General features: G+C 42.0%; 1 protein-coding gene across 2 annotated transcripts in view, besides 1 other annotated feature; it reads right to left on the minus strand.

Moving 5' to 3' along the window:
- Nucleotides 770-1,064: a silencer, noted in NCBI's record as "tiled region #12175; HepG2 Repressive non-DNase unmatched - State 24:Quies". NCBI's record gives its function as "represses a minimal TATA promoter and a strong SV40 promoter by Sharpr-MPRA in HepG2 cells {active_cell/tissue: HepG2}" and the evidence as "EXISTENCE:reporter gene assay evidence [ECO:0000049][PMID:27701403]".
- Nucleotides 2,895-26,745, minus strand: part of CGAS (cyclic GMP-AMP synthase) — a 28,587-nt gene continuing 4,736 nt past the window's right edge. Inside the window, exons 2-6 of one of the 2 annotated variants that reach the window (NM_001410911.1) lie at nt 24,712-24,931; nt 19,393-19,629; nt 7,893-7,995; nt 4,648-4,762; nt 2,895-3,614 (exon numbers count right to left, since the gene is read on the minus strand). In NM_001410911.1, coding sequence (NP_001397840.1) covers nt 3,453-3,614; nt 4,648-4,762; nt 7,893-7,995; nt 19,393-19,629; nt 24,712-24,931 — 837 coding nt within the window. In that variant the 3' untranslated portion in view covers nt 2,895-3,452. Of the gene's footprint in view, nt 4,763-7,892; nt 7,996-19,392; nt 19,630-24,711; nt 24,932-26,745 lie in introns of both variants that reach the window. The other variant, NM_138441.3, reaches the window with a different exon arrangement.

Genomic DNA, 26,745 nt, shown 5'->3' on the forward strand with positions numbered 1-26,745 from the left:
GTGAGCCAAGATCGCGCCACTGCACTCCAGCCTGGGTGACAGAGCAAGACTCCGTCTCAAAAAAATAAATAAATAAATAACAACAATAATAAAATTTTTTATTATTTTTAATTTAATTAATTTATTTAGAGATGGAATTTCGCTCTTGTTGCCCAGGCTGGACTGCAATGGCACAATCTCGGCTCACTGCAACCTCTGCCTCCCAGGTTCAAGCAATTCTTCTGCCTCAGCCTTCCTGAGTAGCTGGGATTACAGGCATGCGCCACCACACCCGGCCAATTTTGTATTTTTAGTAGAGACGGGGTTTCTCCATGTTGATCAGGCTGGTCTTGAACTCCTGACCTCAGGTGATCCGCCCGCCTCGTCCTCCCAAAGTGCTGGGATTACAGGCATGAGCCATGGCACCCAGCCATAAAATTTATTTTTTATATTCTACTAATAAATGCTGTTGTACTTGGGCATGATCAATCATATAACTGTCATTTTTTGGTTTTATGCTGTTTTGGTTTGGTTTTTGCCAACTATATTCACATTTACAAACTAACTAAATAAAATCATTTTATTTAAAAAAAAAAGTAGTCCCGAACCCTTCCACCCTTCATTTTCCACTCCCAAGATGTAACCTTTTCATCTTTTAGCCATTAATAACTTGCTTATACTGCAATTTCTTGGTTTTAAAAATTTGACATTTACTGACTTCCCACTATAAGGAAGATTAATTCAGTTTTTGCATACCTGTGACAGTCGGACCCTCAGGGTTGTCCTGTGGCCCCCCACCTCCTGAGGTTCATATCTATGTAGTAAGGAATTTAACCTAACCCAAAGAAAAGTCTCACCTTTGCCCTTGGCTTCTGAAAGGTAATGGCTGAATTCTTGGAATGTGCCAGAAAGTATAACAATGTGATTTATGGTGGGGTCTTTGGGTCATGGTATCAGCTTATACTGTTTGCCTTCCAGAGGAGCTGGAGACTGAGGTTAGACATATGTCCAGCCAACCATGAGCTGCAGTAAGAACTCTGGACATGGCTCAGGTGAGCTTCCCTGGCTGGCAATATTCTGCGTGTATTGGCACACATTGATGCCAAGAGAATAACATGTCCATGACTCCACCAAAAGACAACAGAAAGTGCTGTGTTTGCTACTCTCTTAAACTCTGCCTTACGCACTTCTTCCTTTGGCTGATTTAAACTTGCATGCTTACTATATAATAAACTGCAACCATGAGCATAGTGGTTTTAGTGAGTTCTGTGAGTCTTTCATCAAACCTCAGGGTGGTTTTAGGAATCCCTTGAAATTGCAATTGTTGACAGAAATGAGGGTGGTCTTATGGGAACTGTTTTCCCCCTAACTGTATCGCTGGCATCTGAGACAACAAGAACACCCTTGAGTGATTCCTCTCCTCTTGGGTATGAGAGGGACCTTTGACTTGCTTCCAATCAATAGAATACAGTACAGGCAACGGACTGTACATAATTATGTGTATGTAATTGTGTTAAACAAGTTTGTAGCACTCCTCTTGCTGGAGTACCTCCCTTGCTGGCTTTGAAGAATCGAGCTACTGTTGTGGGCTGCCTATGTTGGGAGGCTCACATGGTAAGGAACTGAAGACAGCTTCTAGGAACTGAGGGCAACCTCTGGCTGACAGCAAGAAACTGAAGCCCTCAGTCCTACAAATGTAAAGGAACTAAATTCTGCCAACAAAAATGGTTCCTTCTCCAGTCAAGCCTCAGATGAGGCTACAGCGCTGGCTGACGTCTTAATTATAGCCTTGAGAGACTCTGAGCAGAGCCACACCCAGAATTTTGGCCCACTGAAAATGTGAGATAATAAATATGTGTTGTTTTAAGCCTCTAAGGTTGTGGTTAATTGTTACACAGGAAACTAATGTAATCTCCCTACCACTGTCACCATACAGGAACTAAGCCTATTGTCCTATCCTAACCACAGAGTGGGTAATCATAATTTCTTTCTTTCTTTTCACATTAAAAAAGTTTTTTTTTAATTTTTTTTTTTTTTTTGAGATGGAGTCTCGCTCTGTCACCAGGCTGGAGTGCAGCGGCACTGTCTTGGCTCACTGCAACCTCTGCCTCCTGGGTTCAAGCGATTCTCCTGCCTCAGCCTCCCAAGTAGCTGGGATTACAGGCACGTACCACCATACTCATCTAATTTTTGTATTTTTAGTAGAGATGAGGTTTCACCATGTTGGCCAGGCTGGTCTTGAACTCCTGACCTCATGATCTGCCCGCCTTGGCCTCCCAAAGTGCTGGAATTACAGGGGTGAGCCACCGCCCCTGGTTTTTAATTTTTTTAAAGTCGACAACAGTCCATAACTTCAATAAGATTAATAGTCAATGGTTACATTACTATGACTTTGTCAATACTTAAACAGCTGAGCAATATTCTTATATCAGACTTTTCTTTCATGCATTCATTTTTCTTATGGAGTTAAAAATTGCTTAGATTGGCTGGGCACAGTGCTCACATCTGTAATCTTAGCACTTTGGGAGGCTGAGATGGGTGTATCACCTGAGGTCAGGAGTTTGAGACCAGCTTGACCAACATGGTGAAACTCTGTCTCTACTAAAAATACAAAAATAATTAGCCAGGCATGGTGGCGTGCAACTGTAGTCCCAGCTACTTGGGAGGCTGAGGCAGGAGAATTGCTTGAACCGGGAGGAGGAGGGTGCAGTGAGCCAAGATCGTGCCACTGCACTCCAGCCTGGGCGACAGAGTGAGACTGTCCCAAAAAAAAAAAAAATTGCTTAGATTATTTTATTTGCATAGTGGTTTATTTATCATTAATTGTCCCCAAAACTCTTCAAATGTCTAATGTTTCTCTTAGTATGTTCAAACATAGTAGGCTGTTAAACAAGATGTATAAAGCAAAAACCATAAAAAATTCAACTCCAATTTATTCTCAAAAGCTTGAATGAGAAAAGAAATCAACTCCATTAAAATTTAAAAATCTTTACAATAAACAAAACAATACAAAACAAAAAAACCTTGTTTACTAAAAGACACCAAAAAATGTGCAGACAACCCATATGGCAGAAGTTATTTGTTACACAGACAACGAATGAAAGATAAATACCCCAAATATATTAAGAACTTCCCAAAACAATGAGAAGAAAACTAACCCATAAGAAAATGTGCAAAATATATGAACAGGAAATATTTAACAAACAGCAGTTGCCTCTAGGCTGAATGCTACCTAAAATAAAAAAAGTGTTACTGAAAGTAAAAATAAATAGATAACAGAAAATAAGTTAGGTTTTACATTTAGTCACGTATATTAAAATAAAGTATCTTATGTTTTCTTTTAAGATTATGTATTTCAGCCAGGCGTGGTGGCTCACACCTGTAATCCCAGCACTTTGGGAGGCCAAGGCGGGCGGATCACAAGGTAAGGAGATCGAGACCATCCTGGCTAACATGGTGAAACCCCATCTTTACTAAAAATACAAAAAATTAGCCGGATGTGGTGGCGGGCACCTGTAGTCCCAGCTACTCGGAAGGCTGAGGCAGGAGAATGGCATGAACCCAGGAAGCAGAGCTTGCAGTGAGCCAAGATCATGCCACTGGACTCCAGCCTGGGCGACAGAGCGAGACTCCATCTAAAAAAAAAAAAAAAAAATTATGTATTTCCTGGCCAGGCACGGCGGAGAGCTGTTTTTCAGTAAGAACTTGATGAATTTAATTAAGGCAATATGTACTTTATCTTTTTTTATTCCAACCTAAAAATGTCATTTATTTATTTATTTGCCTGCATGATAAAGCAAACATGGTAATGTTTTTAGATTTCAAATACTACTTTTGCTTCTTATTCCTTGACTAATCTTTTTCCTAGGATAGTCAATCCTTTATACTGATTAGAGTTTATTACAACAAACTGAAAACTGAATAATTATTTACATTCATTTTAGTCAATTATTGCTGTGACAAATTTCAAACATTCCAATTATTACAGTCACTAATTTTTGTTATTTTGTTGCTTTTCTAAAAAATTATTTTAATAATTTCCTAATTTATTTTTCTTATTTATTTATTTATTTTTTGAGAGGAAGTCTTGCTCTGTCACCCAGGATGGAGTGCAGTGGTGCCATCTTGACTCACTGCAACCTCCACCTCCTGGGTTCAAGTGATTCTCATGTCTAAGCCTCCCGAGTAGCTGGGATTACAGGCATGCATCACCATGCCCGGCTAATTTTTATATTTTTAGTAGAGATGGAGTTTCACCATGTTGGTCAGGCTGGTCTCAAACTCCTGACCTCAAGTGATCCGCCTGCCTCGGCCTCCAAAGAGCTGGGATTACAGGTGTGAGCCACAGCGTCTGGCCCCTTTTCAAATTTTTCTTGTATTCTCCAGGATTTAGGGTGACTCTAGTTCTTAGATCTTTCTAAAAATACAATCTCAAAATTCATCAAAAACTGGAAACTCATTGTTTCTTTCATATTCAATTTGCTTTGTCAGAAATTCCTTACTTCTTTTGTCAATTAAGTTGCTAGAGAATAGATTGAATTCAGGAATAAAATAATTCTCAAGTTTTTCTGTCCTGAGGCACTGAAGAAAGTATGTCACGCAGTTATCAAAGCAGAGGCCCAGGTCTTTGCGGTCCCACTGACTGTCTTGAGGGTTCTGGGTACATACGTGAAAGAAGGCAGTTTTCACATGATAAGAAGAGAATTTATCCAGATGTTTTTTGTCTTTAAACCTTTCTTTCAGCTGTTCTAAAAGGTATTTCATTAGTTTTAAACAATCTTTCCTGTTGAATAAAAAAGGAAAACACTTATTTTTACTTATTTACATTCAACAAAGGATTTTAGGCATCTCATAGCAAAAATATAAACAATAAAGATATATAATAACATAAATATAGGCCGGGCGTGGTGACACAACGCCTGTAATCCCAGCACTTTGGGAGGCTGAGGCAGGGGGATCACCTAAGATCAAGAGTTTGAGTCCAGCCTGACTAATATGGTGAAACCCCGTCTCTACTAAAAATACAAAATTAGCTGGGCGTGGTGGCGCACGCCTGTAATCCCAGCTACTCTGCAGGCTGAGGCACGAGAATCGCTTGAAGCCAGGAGGCGGAGGTTGCAGTGAGCCAAGATCGCGTCATTGCACTCCAGCCTGGGCAACAAGAACGAAACTCTGTCACACACAGAAAACAAAAACAAAAACAAAAAAGCCGGGCGCGGTGGCTCATGCCTGTAATCCCAGCACTTTGGGAGGCCTAGGCAGGCGGATCACGAGGTCAAGAGTTCGAGATCAGCCTGGCCAGTATGCTGAAACCCCATCTCTACTAAAAATACAAAAATTAGCCAGGTGTGGTGGCGTGCACCTATAATCCCAGCTACTCGGGAGGCTGAGGCAGGAGAATCACTTGAACCCAGGAGGCAGAGGTTGCAGTGAGCCAAGATCATGCCACTGCACTCCAGCCTGGGCAACAAGTGAGACTCCATCTCAAAATAAAATAAAATAAAATAAAATAAAATAATAAAATAAAATGAAATAAATGAAATGAAATGAAATGATAAAATAAAATAAAATAAAATAAATACAACAGTCACACTAAAATCTGATTATGTTTTCAAATATATGGTTTGAAGTTTCAAAAACACATTTTTTCCCTCTCTTTCCCATTCTTAGCTTAAATATATTCTATGAATTTCTTCAACTGTATAAAGCTAACAGATATTTATACTATTTTTTTTTTTTTTGAGACAGGGTCTCACTCTGTCACCCAGGCTGGGATGCAGTGATACAATCTCGGCTCACTGCAACCTCTGACCCTCCCCTCACCCCCCTCAAGCGATCCAAAATCTTGTTTTGTTATAAAATTATTTTACTTTATTGAACTGCAAATTTAATATAAATTTTTTCTTTTCTAAAATCCACTGATTGTATCACAGAATTATTTACATTATTAAGAGTACCATAGATAATCTGCCATCTCATCTAGTTATTTAGTAGTTGACAAAATGTACTATTTATGAAACTATTTAGCCTTATCAACAATATTTCTTTTTTTTTTTCTTTTTCCTTTTTTTTTGAGATGGAGTCTCGCTCTGTTGCCCAGGCTGGAGTGCAGTGGTGTGATCTCAGCTCACCGCAACCTCTGCCTACTGGGTTCAAGCGATTCTCCTGCCTCAACCTCCTAAGTAGCTGGGATTACAGGTGCATGCCACCTCGCCCGGCTAATTTTTGCATTTTTGTAGAGACGGGGTTTCATAACGTTGGCCAGGCTGGTCTCGAACTCCTGACCTCAGGTGATCTACCTGCCTCGGCCTCCCAAAGTGCTGGGATTACAGGCGTGAGCCACTGTGCCTGGCCAACAATATAGTTTTCTTAATGCTTACTTCAAAGCCTGCATATGAGATCTTAAAGAACCTCTGTGCCTGCATGTTGGGCATTTTTGTTTTGACTTTTTAACTTTTGTGATCTTTATACTGGCCAACTTACTTTATTTATTTATTTATTTATTTATTTATTTATTTATTTAAGATGGAGTCTTGCTCTGTTGCCCAGGCTGGAGTGCAGTGGCATGATCTCAGCTTATTGCAACCTCTGTCTCCCGGGTTCAGGTGATTCTCTTGCCTCAGCCTCCTGAGTAGCGGGGATTACAGGCACGTGCCACTGCGCCCAGCTAATTTTTGTATTTTTAGTAGAGACGGGGTTTCGCCACGTAGGCCAGGCTGGTCTCGAATTCCTGACCTCAGGTGATCCACCTGCCCTGGCCTCCCAAAGTGCTGGGATTGCAGGCCTTGAGCCACCATGCCTGGCCAATACTGGCCAACTTTAGAAACTCAAATGAACAATTCCTTTTCAATCTTAGTTCTTTATGGTGTGTATGCCATCACAAAAAAAAATGGTGGGGTGCAGTGTCTCATCCCCGTACTTCCAAGACTTTGGGAGGCCAAGGCGGGAAGTTTACTTGAACCCAGGAGTTGGTGACCAGCCTGCCTGGGCAACAAAGGGAGACCACCATCTCTACCAATAAAAAAAATTTTTTTTGAGACAGGGTGTCACTATGTCACCCAGGTTGCAGTGCAGTGGCACGATCATGGCTCACTGCAGCCTTGATTTTCTGGGCTCGAGCCATTCTCCTACCTCAGCCTTCCAAGTAGCTGGGACCACAGGCACCAGTCACCATGCCTGGCTAATTTTTAAATTTTTTATGGAGGTGGGGTCTCACCATGTTGCTAGGCTGGGATTACAGGTGTGAGCCAACAGGCCCTCTACAAAATTTTTTTTTAAATTAGCCGAGCATGGTGGCATGCACCTGTAATCTCAGCTACTTGGGGGGCTGAGGTAGGATGATTGCTTGAGCCCAGGAGATCGAGGCTGTGGTGAGCCGTAATTGTGCCACTGCACTCCAGTCTGGGTGACAGAGTGAAAGTCTGTCTCAAAAAAAAAAATTACTCACTTAGTGTTGTTTTCAGTTTGGCCAATCAATCCCTAGCCGTCAACACAACCCAACTATCCCAAAGCAAGCCCAGTATCTAATAAGAGCGACCTTTTGGCCTCCTCCAATTATATGGCATTAATATCCATTACTTTTAAACAAGCAGAATACTAAGACCCATCGAATTGTCATGGCTAGTGCTCATACCCTCTCACTCTGTCCTACTGATACATCTATACAAAAACACATTCATCTGATCCAGGGTTCAGAACTACTATTCCCCGGCCTTGCCTTCTAACAACACCCTTTCCTTGGCCCTTTGGATCTAGCTTCTCTGGTTTCATACTCACACTCTCCCCAGCTCAACCCAATCCTGCCCTGCCCCCCAGACCCAACCCAGCTCAGCTCTTCAGGTCTGAGGTGTGGAGTCAACAAATAATTAAGCATACCATAGATAATCTGTCATTTAACAAAATAAGGCTGTTACCTGCAACATTTCTCTTCTTTGTTTTCACAGCACGTTTTAGATTTTCCATGATTGTTCAAAATTTCCTTTTCGATGTGAGAGAAGGATAGCCGCCATGTTTCTTCTTAATTTCAAAAAGAAAAACAAAAAAGCACTTTACCCAAAGCATCCATATCTAAACAATATTCAAGTGGTTTCCCTCATGAAAATATCCTGGGGCTGGGCATGGGGGCTCACGCCTGTAATCTCAGTACTTTGGGAGGCCGAGGAGGGTGGGTCACCTGAGGTCGGGAGTTCGAGACCAGCCTGACCAACATGGAGAAACCCATCTCTACCAAAAATACAAAAAAAAGTTATCCTGGCATGGTGGCACATGCCTGTAATCCCAGCTACTCGGGAGGCTGAGGAAGGAGAATCACTTGAACCTGGGAGGTGGAGGTTGCAGTGAGCCGAGATTGCACCATTGCACTCCAGCCTGGGCAACAAGAGCAAAACTCCATCAAAAAAAAAAAAAGAAAGAAAGAAAAAGAAAATATTCTGAAAAAATCTTAGGAGTGAATCAAAAGAAGTGAACAGATAAATAATTATGTATAAAAATAAGTACACTGAGACAAAAAATGGGCCTAACCGAAAAAAAAAGGAAGTCACAGTTTAATATAGTTAGCAATAGTAAGATGTATTACCTTTTATATATTGCTAAATTCCCTTTGTTAAATATTTTGTTTCAATAATAATTTGAATCAATTTATTCACTTTTTCTGTACCATCCTTACAGGTTTTATATTAATACAAAATGAATTGGGGACCATTTCCTTTATTCTTATTTATGAGAGTTTGTGTAAATATAGAATGATTTCACCTGGGCGCGGTGGCTCACGCCTGTAATCCCAGCACCTTGGGAGGCCAAGGTGGGCGGATCACAAGGTCGGGAGATCAAGACCATCCTGGCTAACACAGTGAAACCCTGCCTCTACCAAAAATACAAAAAATTAGCCGGGCGTGGTGGCGGGCGCCTGTAATCCCAGCTACTTGGGAGGCTGAGGCAGGAGAATGGCGCGAACCCGGGAGGTGGAGCTTGCAGTGAGCGGAGATCGCGCCACTGCACTCCAGCCTGGGCAACAGCACAAGACTCTGTCTCAAAAAAAAAAAATTTCTCCCCGAGTCTTACCATGGCTAGCTCTTTTATGCTCTGACCACCCTGTTACTTCGTGGTTTTATACTAGCAAAGTATAAGTAGTTTATAATCTGAATGATTTTTCAGAAAAATCAATCAATATAATCTGTCACATTAACAGAATAGAGGAGAAATACATGATTGTCTCAATAGATGAAGAAAATGAAGCTCTTAAAATCCTATAGTCGTTCATCATTAAAAAAACACCTCTTAGCAATCTAAGTCTAGATGGACACTTGATTCCATAAAAGGTAGATTTTAGAAAACTATAGCAACAATCATTATGTGAGGTAAAAAGTTGGAGAGAGAAATCAGAAAGAAGGCAAAACATCTGCTATCTCTATTTCTGTTCAACATGCACTGGGTGTCATAGCAAGCACAGTAAGGGAAGGAAAAACAGGGTTACACACTGGAAAGGGAGAAACAAAGCCATCATTATTCATAGGTGATGTAATTGCATATATAGGAAATACAAAAGAATCTACAATGCTGGGCATGGTGGTTCACGCCTGTAATCCCAGCACTTCAGGAGGCCGAGACAGGAGACCAGCCTGGCCAACATGGTGAAACACCATATCTACTAAAAATAGAAAGATTAGCTTAGCCAGTGTGGTGGCGTGTGCCTACACATACCACATGTATGTATGTATTTGTATATAGTCCCAGCTACTTGGGAGGCTGAGGCAGGAGAATCCCTTGAACCCGGAATGCCGAGGTTGCAGTGAGTCGAGATCACGCCACTGCACTCCAGCCTGGACAACAGAGCGAGGCTCCATCTCAAAAAAGAAAGAAAATGAAAAAAGAAAAAAAAAATTATGTAAATAAACTCACCAAATCAATTAAAAGAGTTACCAAGATTGTGGATACAAAAATCAAAGGTATTTTGATATATGGTAATAAACAAAAAATGAAATTTTGAGAAAGATGTTACTTACAATAGTATAAAAACTAGCAATTAGGCCAGGTGCAGTGGCTCATGCCTGTAATCCCAGCACCGTGGGAGGCCGAGGTGAGCAGATCACCTGAGATATGGGGTTCAAGAGCAGCCTGGCAAACATGGCGAAACTCCGTCGCTACTAAAAATACAAAAATTAGCCAGGCATTGTGGCACACAGTTGTAATCCCAGCTACTCAGGAGGCTGAGGCAGGGGAATCGCTTGAATTCAGGAGGCAGAGGTTGCAGTGAGCCAAGATCATGCCATTGCACTCCAGCCTGGATGACAGAGTGAGACTCAGTCTCAAAAAACAAAAACAAAAACAAAAAACAAACAAAAAAAAACACCCAACAGTTACCTTCTAGATCTAACTGCTAATGAAATATGGATGAGGCCAGGCACAGTGGCTCACTCCTGTAATCCCAGCACTTTGGGAGGCTGAGGCGGTGGATCACCTGAGGTCAGGAGTTCGAGACCAGCCGGACCAACATGGTGAAACCCCATTTCTACTAAAAATACAAACATTTAGCCGGGCATGGTGGCACAAGCCTGTAATCCCAGCTACTCTGGAGGCTAAGGCAGGAGAATCACTTAAACCTGGGAGGCGCAGGTTGCAGTGAGCCAAGATCGGGCGATTGCACTCCAGACTGGGCAACAAGAGCAAAACTCCCTCTCAAAAAAACAAAACAACAACAACAACAAAAAGAAATATGGATGAAAGCAGAACATGCTAAACGACACTTCTAGAATGCACTCTACAAACTCTCTTTGGGAAACTCTACAGGAAAAATAACCTGTTTCTTCAATGAGTAAATTGAAGTAAATTGAGTAAATTTTATTCAAGGAATAAAAAAGTTATGAAAGAGGAAGTTATGAGTTAAAAGAGATTTAACAGACATATTGGTCAGTCACAATGTATGAACCTTATTTGAATCCTGATCCAAACAGACTGATCCAAACATACAAAAAAAGTATGACACTTACAAGACAAGCGGAAATTTTAATACTGAATAGGTGTTTGATATTAGGGAATTATTACTTTTTTCTTTCATTTTTTGAGACAAGATCTCCCTCTATCACCCAGGCTGGAGTGCGTGAACACAGCTCACTGAAACCTCGACTTCCCAGCCTCAAGCAATCTTCTCATGTTAGCCGTTCCAATAGCGGGACCAGAAGCATACATCACCATGGCTGGCTAATTTTTGGATTTTTTTGTAGAGACGGGGTCTCTCCACCTTGCCCAGGCTGATCTCAAACTCCTGGGGTCCAGCAATCCTCCCACCTCCCAAAGTGCTGGAATTACAGCTGTGAGCCACTGTGCCCAGCTAATATAAGAAAATTATTATTTGTTTATACATTTATTTTTATTTATTTTTATTTTTTGAGATTGAGTCTCGCTCTGTTGCCCAGGCTGGAGTGCAGTGACACCATCTCAGCTCACTGCAACCTCTGCCTTCCAGGTTCAAGTGATTCTCCTGCCTCAGCCTCCTGAGTAGCTGGGATTACAGGCATGCGCCACCATGCCCGGCTAATTTTGTATTTTTAGTAGAGATGGGGTTTCACCATGTTGGCCAGGCTGGTCTCGCACTCCTGACCTCAGGTGACCCACCCGCCTTGGCCTCCCAAAGTGCTTGGATTACAGGTGTGAGCCACCGCTCCCAGTCATTGATTATTTTTTTAAGACAAGGTTTCACTTTGTCACCCAGGCTGGAGCGCAGTGACATGATCTCGGCTCACAGAAGCCTCAACCTCCTAGACTCAAGTGATTCTCCCACCTCAGCCCCCCAAATAGCTGGGACAACAGGTGCATATTACCACACCCAGCTAATTTATTTTGTATTTTTTGAAGAGACAGGGTTTTGTCACGTGGCCCAGGCTTGAACTCCTGGGCTCAAGTGATCCACCCACCTCAGCCTCCCAAAATGCTGGTATTACAAGCATGAGCCAACACTCCTGGCCCAGTCTCCTTTGGTACTGGTTTAAAATTTTCATAATAAAAAGTTTTGGCCAGGCGCGGTGGCTCACGCCTGTCATCCCAGTACTTTGGGAGGCCGAGGTGAGCAGATCACCTGAGGTCAGGAGTTTGAGAGCAGCCTGGACAACATGGTGAAACCCTATCTCTACTAAAAATACAAAAACTAGCCAGACACGGTGGTGGGCACCTGTAATCCCAGCTACTCAGGAGGCTGAGGCAGGAGAATCGCTTGAACCCAGGAGGTGGAGGGTGCAGTGAGCCGAGATCGCACCACTGCACTCCAGCCTGGGTGACAGAGCGAGACTCCATCTCAAAATAAATAAATAAATAAATAGTTTTAAAATAGATCAATTACCTATGAATAAATTAACAAAAGATATACAAAACCTCTGCAGAGAAAATGCTAATGAATGAAGCTGGGAAGTATTAGAGGAGATGTAAATAAGTGGATTGGGAGACTCAATATTGTTAACATATCAACTCTCTCCCATGTTTTTTTTTTTTAATACAGACAGTGTCTTGTTATGTTGCCCAGGCTGGAGTGCAGTGGCAAGATCATAGCTCACTGTAACCTCGAACTCCTGAGCTTAAGTGATTCTCTTGCGTAACTAAGACTACAAGCTACAAGTGCACACCACCACGCCTGGCTAATTTTTAAAAAGTTTTTATAGAGATGAAGACTCACAACTCTCTATAAAAACTTTTATAGAGAGTTTTTTTTTTTTAATTTTTTTTTGAGACGGAGTCTCTCTCTGTCACCAGGCTGGAGTGCAATGGCGTGATCTTGGCTCACTGCAACCTCTGCCTCCTGGGTTCAAGCGATTCTCCTGCCTCAGCCTCCCGAGTAGCTAGGACTACAGGCACGTGCCACCATGCCCAGCTAATTTTTGTATTTTTAGTAGAAATGGGGTCTTACCATGTTGGCCAGGATGGTCTCGATCTCTTGACCTCGTAATCCACTCACCTTGGCCTTCCAAAGTGCTGGGATTACAGGCGTGAGCCACCACGCCTGGCTAGAGTTTTTACACAGTGTTGTCCAAGATGGTCTTGAACCCCTCACCTAAAGCAACTCTCCTTCCTCAGCCTTCTGAAGTGCTGGAATTACAGGCATAAGTCATCATTCCTGGCCCCAAATTTATCTATAGATTCAACATTATCTCAATCAAAATTCCAAAAAGTATTTTGTGGAATCTGAAAAGCTGATTTCAAAATTTATATGAGAATGTAAAGGGTCAAGACTCTCTCAGACACCCTTGGAGAAAAACGAAGTGGTAGAACTTGCCCTAAAAGATATTGAGACTAATTATAAAGCTACATTATGTACAACAACATGGTACAAAGATAGACAAAGATTTTAATGGGACAGAATAAAGAGTTCAGGGATAGCTACACAATACGGTTGGCCCTCTGTATCTGAGGGTTTCACATCTGAGAATTCAACCAATCGTGAATTGAAACCCACAGATATGGAGGGCCAACTGTATTATATCATTTTATGTAAGGGATTTGAGCATCTGTGGACTTCGGTGTCTGCAGGGTACCCTGGAGCCAATCCTGAGGGTCAACTGTACATGACTGTAAAGAAAGGTGGCACGTACCGTTGATAAAATTTGATAAGGATGGCACTTTGCCTCTGTGACCTTCCTCCCCCAAACCAATAACTCTGATCTAATCATAAGAAACATAATAAAGAAATCTCAAGTAAAGGACATTCTACAAAATACCTAACTAGTACTCCTCAAAACTGTTAAAACCAAAAAACTGTCACAGTCAAGAGTAGCTTAAGGAGACATGACAACTAAATGCAATATGGTATCCTAAATGGGATCTTGGAACAGTAAAAGGACATTAAGAAAAACTAAGGAAATCTGGATAAAGTATATAATTTTTTTTTTTAATGGAGTCTCGCTGTGTCTCCTAGACTGGAGTGCAGTGGCATGATCTTGGCTCACTGCAACTCCACCCACCAAGTTCAAGTGATTCTCCTGTCTCGGCCTCCTGAGTAGCTGGGACTAAGTCACATGCCACCACGCCTGGCTAATTTTTGTATTTTTTTAGTAGAGACGGGGTTTTGCCATGTTGGCCAGGGTGGTTTCGAACTCTTGATTTCAGGTGATCTGCCCACCTCGGCCTCCCAAAGTGCTGGGATTACAGGCAAGACCCACTGTGCCCAGCAGATATAGCCCTTAGCTAACAATAATATATCAATATTGGTTTATTAATTATTAAATGTATTGTATTAATGTGAGATATTAATAATAGGAAAATGGGGGTGCTGCAGTGGCACGTGTCTGTAGTCCCAGTTACTTGATAAGGTGAGGTGGGAGGATCATTGAGCTCAGTTCAAGACCAGCATGGGCAACATAGTGAAACTCTGCCCCACTACCTCCCCCAGAAAAAACCCCAGGGGAATGGGTATGGGGTTATACGGGAACTCTCTGTACTATCTTCACAATTTTTCTGTAAATACAAAACTATGCTAAAACAAAAAGTTTATTTTTAAATAAACTACACTGAGATATCATTTCTTACTTTTTGAGATATCATTTTCTCACTGGCAAGAATTTCAATTGGCAAAAAGTTTAACAAGTCAGTGAGGTTGAGAGTGAAACAGGTACTCTGATACATTGCTGTGGAAAAGCAAATTGGAATGATGCCTATGGAGATCTGGGAAATGCCTAGCAATATTACATAACGATTTACTCTTTGACCAGCTGTAAAAATAGACTTTAAAAAGGAATGGGTGTTTTCTCTATATAGAGGTATGGAGTGAGATCGAAAATATCTTGTTAAATTAAAAGAAAAAAAGTGTTATATCTGAGAGCAGGGCGTCTATAAAATTAAAAAATAAACCAAATTAATAAAATTAAAAAGAAAAACATATGTCCTGGCCATGATGGCTCATGCCTATAATCCCAGCACTTTAGGAGGCCAAAGTGGGAGGACTGCTTTAGGCCAGGAGTTTGAGACCAGCCTGGGCAACATAGCAAGACCCTGTGTCTACTTTAAAAAAAAAAAAAAAAAAAGTGTACCTTTTATTTAAAAAGGGGGTAGCATACAAATATATTTTGTATGTATATAAATTACTATATTATCTAATATTTATGTTCAATCTACCTTTTTCAAAGTAATACCAGTATTATTACCAATAATACACTTATAAAAAACAGCTTATAATTTTTTTGCAGTTTTTTGTCCTTAAGATAAAAGGACAGTCAAAATACCAAGTTTTAAACCCACTTGAAAACATGTCCACTGATTACAGTGTCGTGCACCTGTAATCTCAGCTACTTGGGAGGTGGGAGACTGAGACGGGAGGATCACTTGAACCCAGGAGTTCAGCTCCAAGAAGAACAACCCTAACTCCTGGGCTCAATGATCCTCCTGCCTCAGCCTCCCGAAGGCTGAGGAAACTAGGACTATAAGCACATGCCACTGCACCCCCATTTCCCTATTATTAACATCCCATATTCATAAAATACATTGGTACAATAAACCAATATTGATACATTATTGTTAACTAAAGTCTATACTTTATCCAGATTTCCTTAGTTTTTACCTGACTTCTTTATCTTAAAAATATATATTAAATATAAGTATTTATATGAATATATTTACATAAGTATTTACATGTAATATATTATGTATAATTTATATGTAATATGTCATATAATATAAAACATTGTATATAATTTATATTATATACTATATACACATTTATATGCCATCCCCTTTTTAAAATAAAAGGGACACCTTTTTCTTTGTTTTTGAGACAGGGTCTCACTCTGTTACCCAGGCTAGAGTGCAGTGGCACCATCTTGGCTCACTGCAGCCTCAACCTCCAGGGCTCAAGTGATCCCCTGACATCAGCCTCTTGAATAGTTGGGACTACAGGCTTGCACCACCACACCTGGCTAATTTTTGTATTTTTAGTAGAGACAGGCTTTCACCATGTTGCCCACGCTGGTCTCGAACTCCTGAGCTCAAATGATCCACCCACTTCAGCCTCCCAAAGTACTGGATTATAGGTTTGAGCCATTACATGAATGAGAGAGAGAGAGAGAGAATATATTTACTTACACTTTTAAAACACGGAAGGCCAGGCACGGTGGCTCACGCCTGTAATCCCAGTACTTTGGGAGGCCAAGGTGGGTGGACCACCTGAGGTTGGGAGTTCAAGAGCAGCCTGGCCAGCGTGGTGAAACCTCATCTCTACTAAAAACACAAAAATTAGCCAGGCGTGGTGGCACACACCTGTAATCCCATCTACTCCTGGAGGCTGAGGCAGGAGAATCACTTGAACCTGGGAGGCGAAGGCTGCAGTGAGCCAAGATTGCCCCACTGCGCTCCAGCCTGGGCAACAGAGCGAGACTCTGTCTCAAAAATAAATAAATAAATAAAATAAAAAATAAAACATGGAAGGGTAAACTAAAAACAATTAAAAAGGTTTCTAATCAGGGAAGGAGAGAAGAGTGTGGAGAGGACATGAACAGAAGATGTTTCTCTAACTGTACCTTTTTCCATAGCTTTGACTTTGGAACCACGTATATGCTTTATAAATTTATGAAACGAATTAAATCAAAATTTAAAAACCAGTATCTAAAAACAGATAACATAATGAAACAAGTTAATTTACCTATGTTGAGTTAAACTGTCCAGAGACTTTTTTTTTGGCAGGCGGGGTATAGAGGACTTCTTGCTATGTTACCCAGGATGGAGTGCAGTGGCATGATCATAGCTCACTACAGCCCTGAACCCCTGGGCTCAAGCAATCCTCCCGCCTCAACTTCCTGAGTAGCTGAGACTATAGGCATGGGCCACTGCGCCTGGCTGAACATTTTTTTGAGTGGGTTAAAAACCTCATATTTTGACTGTCCTTTTATCTTAAGAACAAAAAAACTGCAAGTAAATCATAAACTGTTCTTTAAATAAATTATATCCTTGGTAATAAAACTAGTATTATTTTGCAACAGGTAAATTTTTAAAATTTAAAATTTTTAATCAAAAATCAATAAAAACAAGGCCAGGCACAGTGGCTCATGCCTGTAATCTTTGGGAGATGGAGATGGGTGGATCACCTGAAGTTGGGAGTTCGAGATCAGCCTGGCCAATATGGTGAAACCCAGTCTCTACTAAAAATACAAAAAATTAGCTGGGCATGGTGGCACGCACCTGTAGTCCCAGCTACTCGAGATGCTGAAGTGGGAGAATCTTTTGAACCCAGGAGGTGGAGGTTGCAGTGAGCCAAGATTGCACCACTGCACTCCAGCCTGGGCGACACAGCGAGACTCTGTCTCAAAAAATAAACAAATAAAAATAAATAAAAACAAAAACATAATATTTTTAAAAATATAGCTTGTGAGACCAGGGAATTTCTAGTAGAATGTTTAGAGAAAGAAAAGATATAGCAGGTGTTATAAGTGTCTCCAATCTAGTACAAGTATTTTCACTGTTAAGTCCCTCTGTTCACATACACTCACACACATACACAGAAGCAGAGTTTTGTCTAATTATACATAATCTGGAATGATGGCAGATGCAGAACAGCCAAGGGTAACAGAAAGCAGAGGTGAAGCTAAGCATCCAGCACCAGCCTTCACTTTCTTTCATTTTAATGGAAGAATGAAAAGAACTCCCTAACCATGGCTAGATGCAGTGGCTCACGCCTGTAATCCCAGCACTTTGGGAGGCTGAGGCGGGTGGATCACGAGGTCAAGAGATGGAGACCATCCTGGCCAACATAATGAAACCCTGTCTCTACTAAAAATACAAAAATTAGCCTCGCGTGGTGGCATGCGCCTGTAGTCCCAGCTACTCATGAGGCTGAGGCAGGAGAATCGCTTGAGCCAGGAGGCAGAGGTTGCAGTGAGCCAAGTTCACACCACTGCACTCCAGCCTGGGCAACAAAGCAAGAATCCGTCTCAAAAAAAAAAAAAAAAAAGAACTGCCTAACCACATAGGCCACAGGGCCACCAAAGGACTCTTCTTCATCTCTAAGGTGATTTACCTTCCAGTGTTCCTCAGGACAGTATGGGGTCAGCAAGAGATGGTATGGGGTCCTGTTGCAATTTTTGTATCACTTACAGTGAGGGTTTCCTGGGGCAGCTATTCTAAAAATTGTTCAGTTTGCAGAACAACCTCTTTGCAGAAAGCTATAATTCATTTTGTAAAAACATGAATAATGATATATGTAAGTACCCTTCATAGACTATTTTTCTTACAGAAAATGATTCCTCTATGTATGCAATATATGAAGTTATGATGTGTGTCCACAAAAACACAAACCATCAAACTAAGCATGATTGACTATTTCTGGGCTTTTTTCAGCAATACTCATTTATAACTTGGTTCATTTGTTTTATGGTCTCCTTCAATTTCCCTGGAATCCAATAGTAGTAGGTGCCAAAAGTCCTATATAAATCTATGGGAGAAAATGAAAATAATCAGCTACTTTCTTTTTTTTTTTAGACTAAATCACAAGGAAAAAAGCTACTTCCCAGGAGTTTGAGACCAGCCTGGCCAACATGGTGAAACCCCGTCTCTACTAAAAATACAAAAAATTAGCCAGGCATGGTAGCGGGCACCTGTAGTCCCAGCTACTCGGGAGGATGGGGCAGGAGAATCGCTTTAACCCGGGAGGCAGAGGTTGCAGCAAGCTGAGATTGTGCCACTGCACTTCAGCCTGGGCAACAAGAGCAAAACTCTGTCTCAGGAAAAAAAAAAAAAGAAAGAAAGAAAAAAAAAAGTTACTTCCTTCTACCTTCAAAAATATCACCATTATAAAGTTTTAGCTGTAGACCAACTCAGTCTGTTTCTTGGAAGTTGAATTTTACCCAAGAGCACAGCCTGAAAACCCGTCCTGATCTGTGAGGCTGAGACACGCTGCATAGGAGCAGTGGAATGGGAAGATGAAGGAAAGAGAGAACCAGGGCTGAGAATGAGAGTCTAGACTCTAATGATAATATTAATATGTAATAACGTATAACTGGCATGAACAGAATTGGCCACAGAACTGCATGCACATTTTATCTTTCCAGAATTTTTCAAGTACTTTTGGTTAACACAGTGTACGGATGAGCAAATGGGTTTAGAAAGCATCATAACTAGCTCGAATTCACACAACTAGTAGAAGGAGCCTCAGGATTCAGAACCAGGGCAGTCTGACTCCAAGGCCAATACTGCTTTTCTTTACCGAAAAAAATAAAATAAAATTCAAATATGGATTGCTAGACATTTTAAAGCTGAGTATTTGATATTAATACTACAACTTTGCCCTTTTCAATTCTGTCTGTCACCAGACTCCCATCTTATAACCTATTTTGCCTGATGGCTCTTGAAATGACAACAGCATTGGTTGGCTGTTGATCTTTTACTGCCTGAACATATAACATTAACAACTCTTTTACTTCTTTAAGTTAACTTTAATATTTAAAATACCTTGGAAACCATTTCCTTCCTTTGCATGCTTGGGTACAAGGTAAAATGGCTTTAGTCGTAGTTGCTTCCTAACTTTTGCTGAAAGCCAGTTTTGAATGCGCAGGCCTTCTTGGGTGCTAGCAGGCCAGCTACTTTTTGATTCCAAAGCCAGGGTTATATCCACAGATATTTTTTCACTAATAAGAAGTGTTACAGCAGGGCTCCCTCCTCTTTTCCTCTTCATGATGACATCTGTATCTGGTTGAACATATAAAAGAAAAGAAAGTATTTATTAATCCAATTTTCTCTGGAAATACAGGGGAAATAATGTAACTATAATTGAAGATCTCTGGTGTGCTAAGTATGAAGTAAACATTAGTGGTAAAACAGAAACTGGCTCTAAAAGGCAAAGTATTTTACTAAACCAATATTGGCTGGGCATGATGGCTCATGCCTGTAATCGCAGCACTTTGGGAGGCCGAGACAGGTGGATCACTTGAGGTCAGGAGTTCGAGACCAGCCTGGCCAACATGGTGGAACCCCATCTCTACTAAAAATACAAAAATTAGCCGGGCATGGTGGCGAATGCCTGTAATCCCAGCTACTCGGGAGGCTGAGGCATGAGAATCACTTGAACCCAGGAGGCGGAGGTTGCAGTGAGCCGAGATCACATGACTGCACTCCAGCCTGGGCGACAGATTAAGACTCTGTCTCAAAAAAGAAAAAAAAACAAAAAACAAAAAACACAATAATTACTGATATCTCCCATTGGGAGGCATTGTCAAGATGGTGTGGGGCATATATGATGAAGGGGTCTCTGTAGACTTTGAGGTTTAAGAGTGCTGTGATTAAATTTTCTTCTTTTCTTTTCTTTTCTTTTTTCTTTTTCTTTTTCTTTTTTTTTTTTTTTGAGACAGAGTTTCACTCTTATTGTCTTGTTGCCCAGGCTGGAGTGCAGTGGCACGATCTCGGCTCACTGCAACTTCTGCCTCCCGGGTTCAATTGATCCTCCTGCCTCAGCTTCCTGAGTAGCTGGGATTACAGGCATGTGCCACTGTGCCTGGTTAAATTTTCATTACAAATTATAGATGGCAGAATGGAGGGAAGCCTAGAGGAGAGGCCAGATGGGCAAGAGGGAAGAGACAGGCAGCAAAAAGACCACAGCAACAGCCTGGCACAGAGGCTGGGTGCCACGGCAGCACAGAGGTAGTGAGCATCAAGACACGGGGAAGAAGTGAGAGCAACTAAAGAAGTCCAAATCAACATAAGTGGTCATGAGTTGAGGCTACGATGTGAGGAGGAAAGTAGGAGCCTTGGGATGCCATCCCAGGATCTTGGCCTTCCTAGGCCTAATGGCTGATGTTGGTTCCATTCCTCAAAATAGAATAAGCAGGAAGAAGAAAGATTGGGCCAAGCTGAACTTCATGAGATACAATGAGCTCTAGATACCTGTGGGACACTCAAGTGGAGATGGCTGCTGGGTGGGTGGCTATGGTCAGAAATTTAGATGGCTTTGGGAGTTGGGGGTTTATAAGCAGTAAAGACTACTACTGTCAGATAAGACTTCCACAGTGACGAAGTAGAGCACAAAGGAGAAAATGCTAGAAAAATCTGCAAACCTGGCCACCTGTTACCCAAACCTGGCCACCTCTCCTGTTACCACTGAGGAAGTAAGTGTCCATCTACCTTACTTTTTTTTGAGACAAAGTCTTGCTCTGTAGCCCAGGCTGGATGCAGTGCAGTGGTGTGATATCAGCTCACTGCAAACTCCACCTCCCAGCTTCAAGTGATTCTCCTGCCTCAACCTCCTGAGTCGCTGGGATTACAGGCATGCACCACCACACCTGGCTAATTTTTGTATTTTTAGTAGAGACAGGGTTTCACCATGTTGGCCAGGCTGGTCTTGAACTCTTGAGCTCAAATGATCTGCCTACCTTGGCCTCCCAAAGTGCTAGGGTTACAAGTGTGAGCCACTGTGCCTGGCCCTCCATCTACCTTTCAAAGGCCACCTCTGCCCATAGTCTCTGGATCCCTTCCTTCTCAACTTCTCAAGTACCATGCTCTTCAAGTATTTCCTCTCCTACATCAGCCATCTCTCCCTCCCTGCTAGATTATTCTGAAATTCATACAAAGGGTTATAGGGTATACCTCTCCTTTCACCCCACATCTTCCTCCTCTCCATACTCACCCATCTTTCTGCTTCCTTCCAGCCCAAACTTTTTTTTTTTTTTGAGACAGGGTCCCGTTCTGTCACCCAGGCTGGAGTGCAGTAGCGTGAACATGGCTCACTGCAGCCTCAACCTCCTAGGTTCAAGCAATCCTCTTGCCTCAGCATCGTATGTAGCTGGGACCACAGGCACATGCCACCACTCCTGGCTAATTAAAAAAATGTTTTTTTCTTTTTTCTTTCTTTTTTTTTTTTTTTTTTTCTGAGACAGTCTTGCTCTGTCGCTCAGGCTGGAGTGCAGTGGCGCAATCTCAGCTCACTGCAACCTCTGTCTCCCAGGCTCAAGCAATTCTTTTGCCTCAACTTCCTGAGTAGCTATGATTATAGGTGTCTGCCACCACGCCTGGCTAATTTTTGTATTTTTAGTACAGACGGGGTTTCATCATCTTGGCCAGGCTGGTCTTGAACTCCTGACCTTGTGATCCGCCCACCTTGGCCTCCCAAAGTGCTGGGATTACAGGCATGAGCCACCATACCTGGCCTAAAATTTTTTTTTGTAGAGATGGACTCTCACTTTGTTGCCCAGGCTGGTCTTGAACTCCTGGGCTCAAGCAATCCTTCTGCCTTGGCCTCCCAAAGTGCTGAGACACCACAGTTAGCCCAGACAGAACTTTCTAGAGTGGCCTACACATGTTATCTCCACTGCAACCCTGCCTTTTCACTCTGTGTCCATCACCCCACTGACATTTCTCTTGTCAACCCCACAAGACCAAAGAACAAATCCATTGGATTTCTGGATGTCAGTAGCATTCCAAACACTGACCGCTCCTTCTACAAAACACTCATAGTCTCCTTTTGTTCATTCTCTTCTTCCCAAACTCTTTTTTTTTTTTTTTTTTTTCTGAGACAGGGTCTCACTCTGTCGCCCAGGCTGGAGTTCAGTGGCGCGGTCTCAGCTCACTGCAACCTCCGCCTTCTGGGTTCAAGAAATTCTCTGCCTCAGCCTCCCAAGTAGCTGGGATTACAGGCACCCGCCACCACGCCCGGCTAGTTTTTTGTATTTTTAGTCAAGACGGGGTTTCACCATCTTGGCCAGGCTGGTCTTGAACTCCTGACCTCGTGATCCACCCGCCTCGGCCTCCCAAAGTGTTGGGATTACAGGCGTGAGCCACGGCGCCTGGCTCTTCCCAAACTCTAATGGAATTCTCTTCTTACCACTCTACTTAACATTGCAACTTCCCCCCCACCTCCATCTCCCACATTCCTGATCCCTCTCACTTTGCTATACTTCTTCACAACAGCACTTACTACTTTCCAGTATACAAGATAATCATTTTTTCCATTTGTTATTAATTGTACGTCTGTGCTTGCAAGATAAAGCTCTTAATCTAATAGCGTAATAACATACAACACAAATTGCAGTGAGTGCTCTGAAGGGAATAAACTGGGAAAAGTGATAGCAATTAGGGTGGAATGGGGTGGTGGAGCCAAGCCCTGAGGCAGAAAAAAAGAGCTTGGAAAGATCTAGGAACAAAAAGAGACTCTTTCGGAAAAGATGAAGTTATATGAAATGAAGCTGAAGAGGCAGCCAGGGACCAGATTCTGTACTGACTTGTAGACCCTGAAAAGGACTTTAGATTTCATTTTATTTTTGAGACGGAGTCTTGCTCTGTCGCCCAGGCTGGAGTGCAGTGGCACGATCTCGGCTCACTGCAACCTCCACCTCTCGGGTTCAAGCGATTCTCCTGCCTCAGCCTCCCGAGTAGCTGGGATTACAGGCATCCACCACCACGCCTGGCTAATTTTTGTATTTTTAGTATAGATGGGGTTTCACCATCTTAGCCAGGCTGGTCTTGAACTCCTGACCTCGTGATATACCTACCTCAGCTTCCCAAAGTGCTGGGATTACAGGTGTGAGCCACTGCGCCTGGCCAGATTTTAATTTAATTTAATTTAATTTTATTTTATTTTGAGATGGAGTTTCGCTCTTGTCACTCAGGCTGGAGTGCAATGCCCCGATCTCGGCTTACTGCAACCTCTGCCTCCCAGGTTGAAGCAATTCTCCTGCCTCAGCCTCCCAAGTAGCTGGGATTACAGACATGTGCCACCACACCCGGCTAATTTTTGTATTTTTAGTAGAGATGGGGTTTCTCCATGTTGGCCAGGCTGGTCTCAAACTCCTGAGCTCAGGTGATCCACGCACCTCAGCCTCCCAAAGTGCTGGGATTACAGGTGTGAGCCACTGCGCCTGGCACCAGATTTTATTATCTGATCATTGAGAAGCCAGGTTTTCATCAGAGAGTAATGACTGGCTTTGTATTTTAAAACATTTACTCTGGCTTCTAAGGACAGATATTATAAGAAGGCAAATAGGGAGATTAGAAAGGAAAATGATGTAATAGTTCAGGTAAAAGATGGTGGCAGCTTAGGTGGGGTGGGAGTAGGGTGCTGGGATTGAAGCAGCAGACAGGTCCAAGCTGTAGCAGCACTTGCATCTGGATTAAGCGTAGGGGGTAACAGAGAGGATTAAATTAAGATGGTTCCCAGGTTTCTGGATGGTGCGTCTGGGTGGATTGATTGTGCCATTTTCTGAGATGGGAAGGACTGAGGCAAAACATAGTTTGGTATATGAATTAAGTTATGTTTATTCGCTTTGGATATGTTTGGTTATAGATTCCTGTGGTACATCAACATCAAAGTGGATATGTTAAGGACGTAGCTGGATATAGGTTTGGAGTGCAAAGGATATATTTGGGCTGCAAGTAAACATTTGGGAGTCATCATCATATAGGTGGCATTGGGAATGGATGAAATACCTAGGCAGAGAGTGTAGATTCATTTATCCATCAATTTAATAAATATTCATTGATTATTTCATATAATTTAATCATTTAATTTAATCAATATTCATTGATTATCTAATGTGTAGGTGTTCTAGTTATTTAGGATTCATTAGAGAACAAATAGATAAAGACCTCTACCCTTCTGTACTTTATAATCTTGTAATCATATTATAAGTAATTGCCAATGTACACTCCTCTACTGATGTTTCTTGACCTCTCTACTGCACTTTTTCTTACTGCAGAGAGGTCAAGAAACATGAGAATGGGAGTGTACATTGGCAATTACTAGGTATAATTAAACCTTTAAGAATCAAAAGGCAAAAGTCTTACCTTTAATGTCGTTAATTTCTTCCTTAATGATTTTCCTAAACTTTGACAGCATCTTAGAAGCTGATAATATTTCACCTTCTAAAAACTGACTCAGAGGATTTTCTTTCGGATTTCTTTTAAATTTCACAAAGTAATATGCACGAGTGTTGGAATATTCTTCTAGTTGAATTCTGGGGACTTCCAGTTTAAACATGACATCAAATTCATTAGGTGCAGAAATCTAAGAAACAGTAAAAATAGTACTGAAATATTTGCTTATGAATATTTTCCAAGTGACTGGAACTTTTTAAAAAATTTCCACTTAAAACTTTACTTTAAAAAGCAAGATTCATAATGTCTATATATACCCTCTGGGAGTGGGACTAGTGGAGCTGGCAGGAGGTGGAAGAGTATTACCAGTTTCATTTTGTAGGTTCTACACTCAATTAATTTTTTTTACCATGACCTAGTATTATTTTTATAACTAAAAATGATTTTAGGCCAAGTGCAGTGGCTCACACCTATAATTAAATTTTGTGGGGCCAGGTGCAGTGGCTCATGCCTGTAATCCCAGCACTTTGGGAGGCCAAGGCGGGCGATTCACCTGAGGTCAGGTGTTCGAGACCAGCCTGGTCCAACATGGTGAAACCCCGTCTCTACTAAAAATACAAAAATTAGCCGGGCATAGTGGCATGCGCCTGTAATCCCAGCTACTCAGGAGGCTGAAGCAGGAGAATTGCTTGAACCTAGAAGGCAGATGTTGCAGTGAGCCAAAATAGTGTCACTGTACTCCAGCCTGGGCAACAGAGCAAGACTCCATCTCAAAAAAAAAAAAAAAAAAAATTTGTGTATGATATGTGGTAGGGAATCAAGGTTCATGTTTTTCCTACATAGATATCCAATTGACCCAGCATTATTTATTGAAAAAAAAAAATCGGGCCGGGCGCGGTGGCTCACGCCTGTAATCCCAGCACTTTGGGAGGCCGAGGCGGGTGGATCATGAGGTCAGGAGATCGAGACCATCCTGGCTAACAAGGTGAAACCCCGTCTCTACTAAAAATACAAAAAAAAATTAGCCGGGCGCGGTGGCGGGCGCCTGTAGTCCCAGCTACTCGGGAGGCTGAGGCAGGAGAATGGCGTGAACCCGGGAAGCGGAGCTTGCAGTGAGCCGAGATTGCGCCACTGCAGTCCGCAGTCCCGCCGGGGCGACAGAGCGAGACTCCGTCTCAAAAAAAAAAAAAAAAAAAAAAAAAAAAAAATCGTCCTTTCAGCCAGGCGCGGTGGCTCACGCTTGTAATCCCAGTACTTTGGGAGGACGAGGCAGGCGAATCACAAGGTCAAGAGATCAAGGCCATCCTGGCCAACATGGTGGAACTTCGTCTCTATTAAAAATATGAAAATTAGCTAGGTGTGGTGGCATGCACCTGTAGTTCCAGCTACTCAGGAGGCTGAGGCAGGAGACTTGCTTGAACCCGGGAGGCGGAGGTTGCAGTGAGCCGAGATGGTACCACTGCACTCCAGCCTGGGCGACAGTGCGAGACTCCGTCTCAAAAAATAAATGAATACATATTTTAATCAGTTTGTCAATTTAATTTAAAAAACTGATCATATTTCAACTGATTGCATTAAATCTAGAACAATTTGAGGAAAAATGAACACGATATAGTTGTCAATTACTTCCTCTTCAAATTTACCCAGTTATGTTTTTAAGTTTTGAATATCTTTAGTGATATTTATTCCTAAATATTTGATTTTTAAATTGTTTTTCAAGTTTTCAGTTTTTTGTTTTTTTTTGAGACAGAGTTTCACGCTTGTCACTGAGGCTGGAGTGCAATGGAGCAAGCTTGGCTCACTGCAACCTCAGCTTCCTGGGCTCAAGCAATTCTCCTGCCTCAGCCTCCCAAGTAGCTGGGAATACAGGCGCGCACCAACACGCCCAGCTAATTTTTGTAGTTTTAGTAGAGACAGGGTTTTGCCATGTTGACCAGGCTGGTCTCAAACTCCTGACCTCAAGTGATCTGCCTGCCTCTACTCCCAAAGTGCTGGGATTATAGG

Source organism: Homo sapiens, chromosome 6 (genome assembly GCF_000001405.40).
Source record: "Homo sapiens chromosome 6, GRCh38.p14 Primary Assembly".
Lineage (NCBI taxonomy): Eukaryota > Metazoa > Chordata > Mammalia > Primates > Hominidae > Homo > Homo sapiens.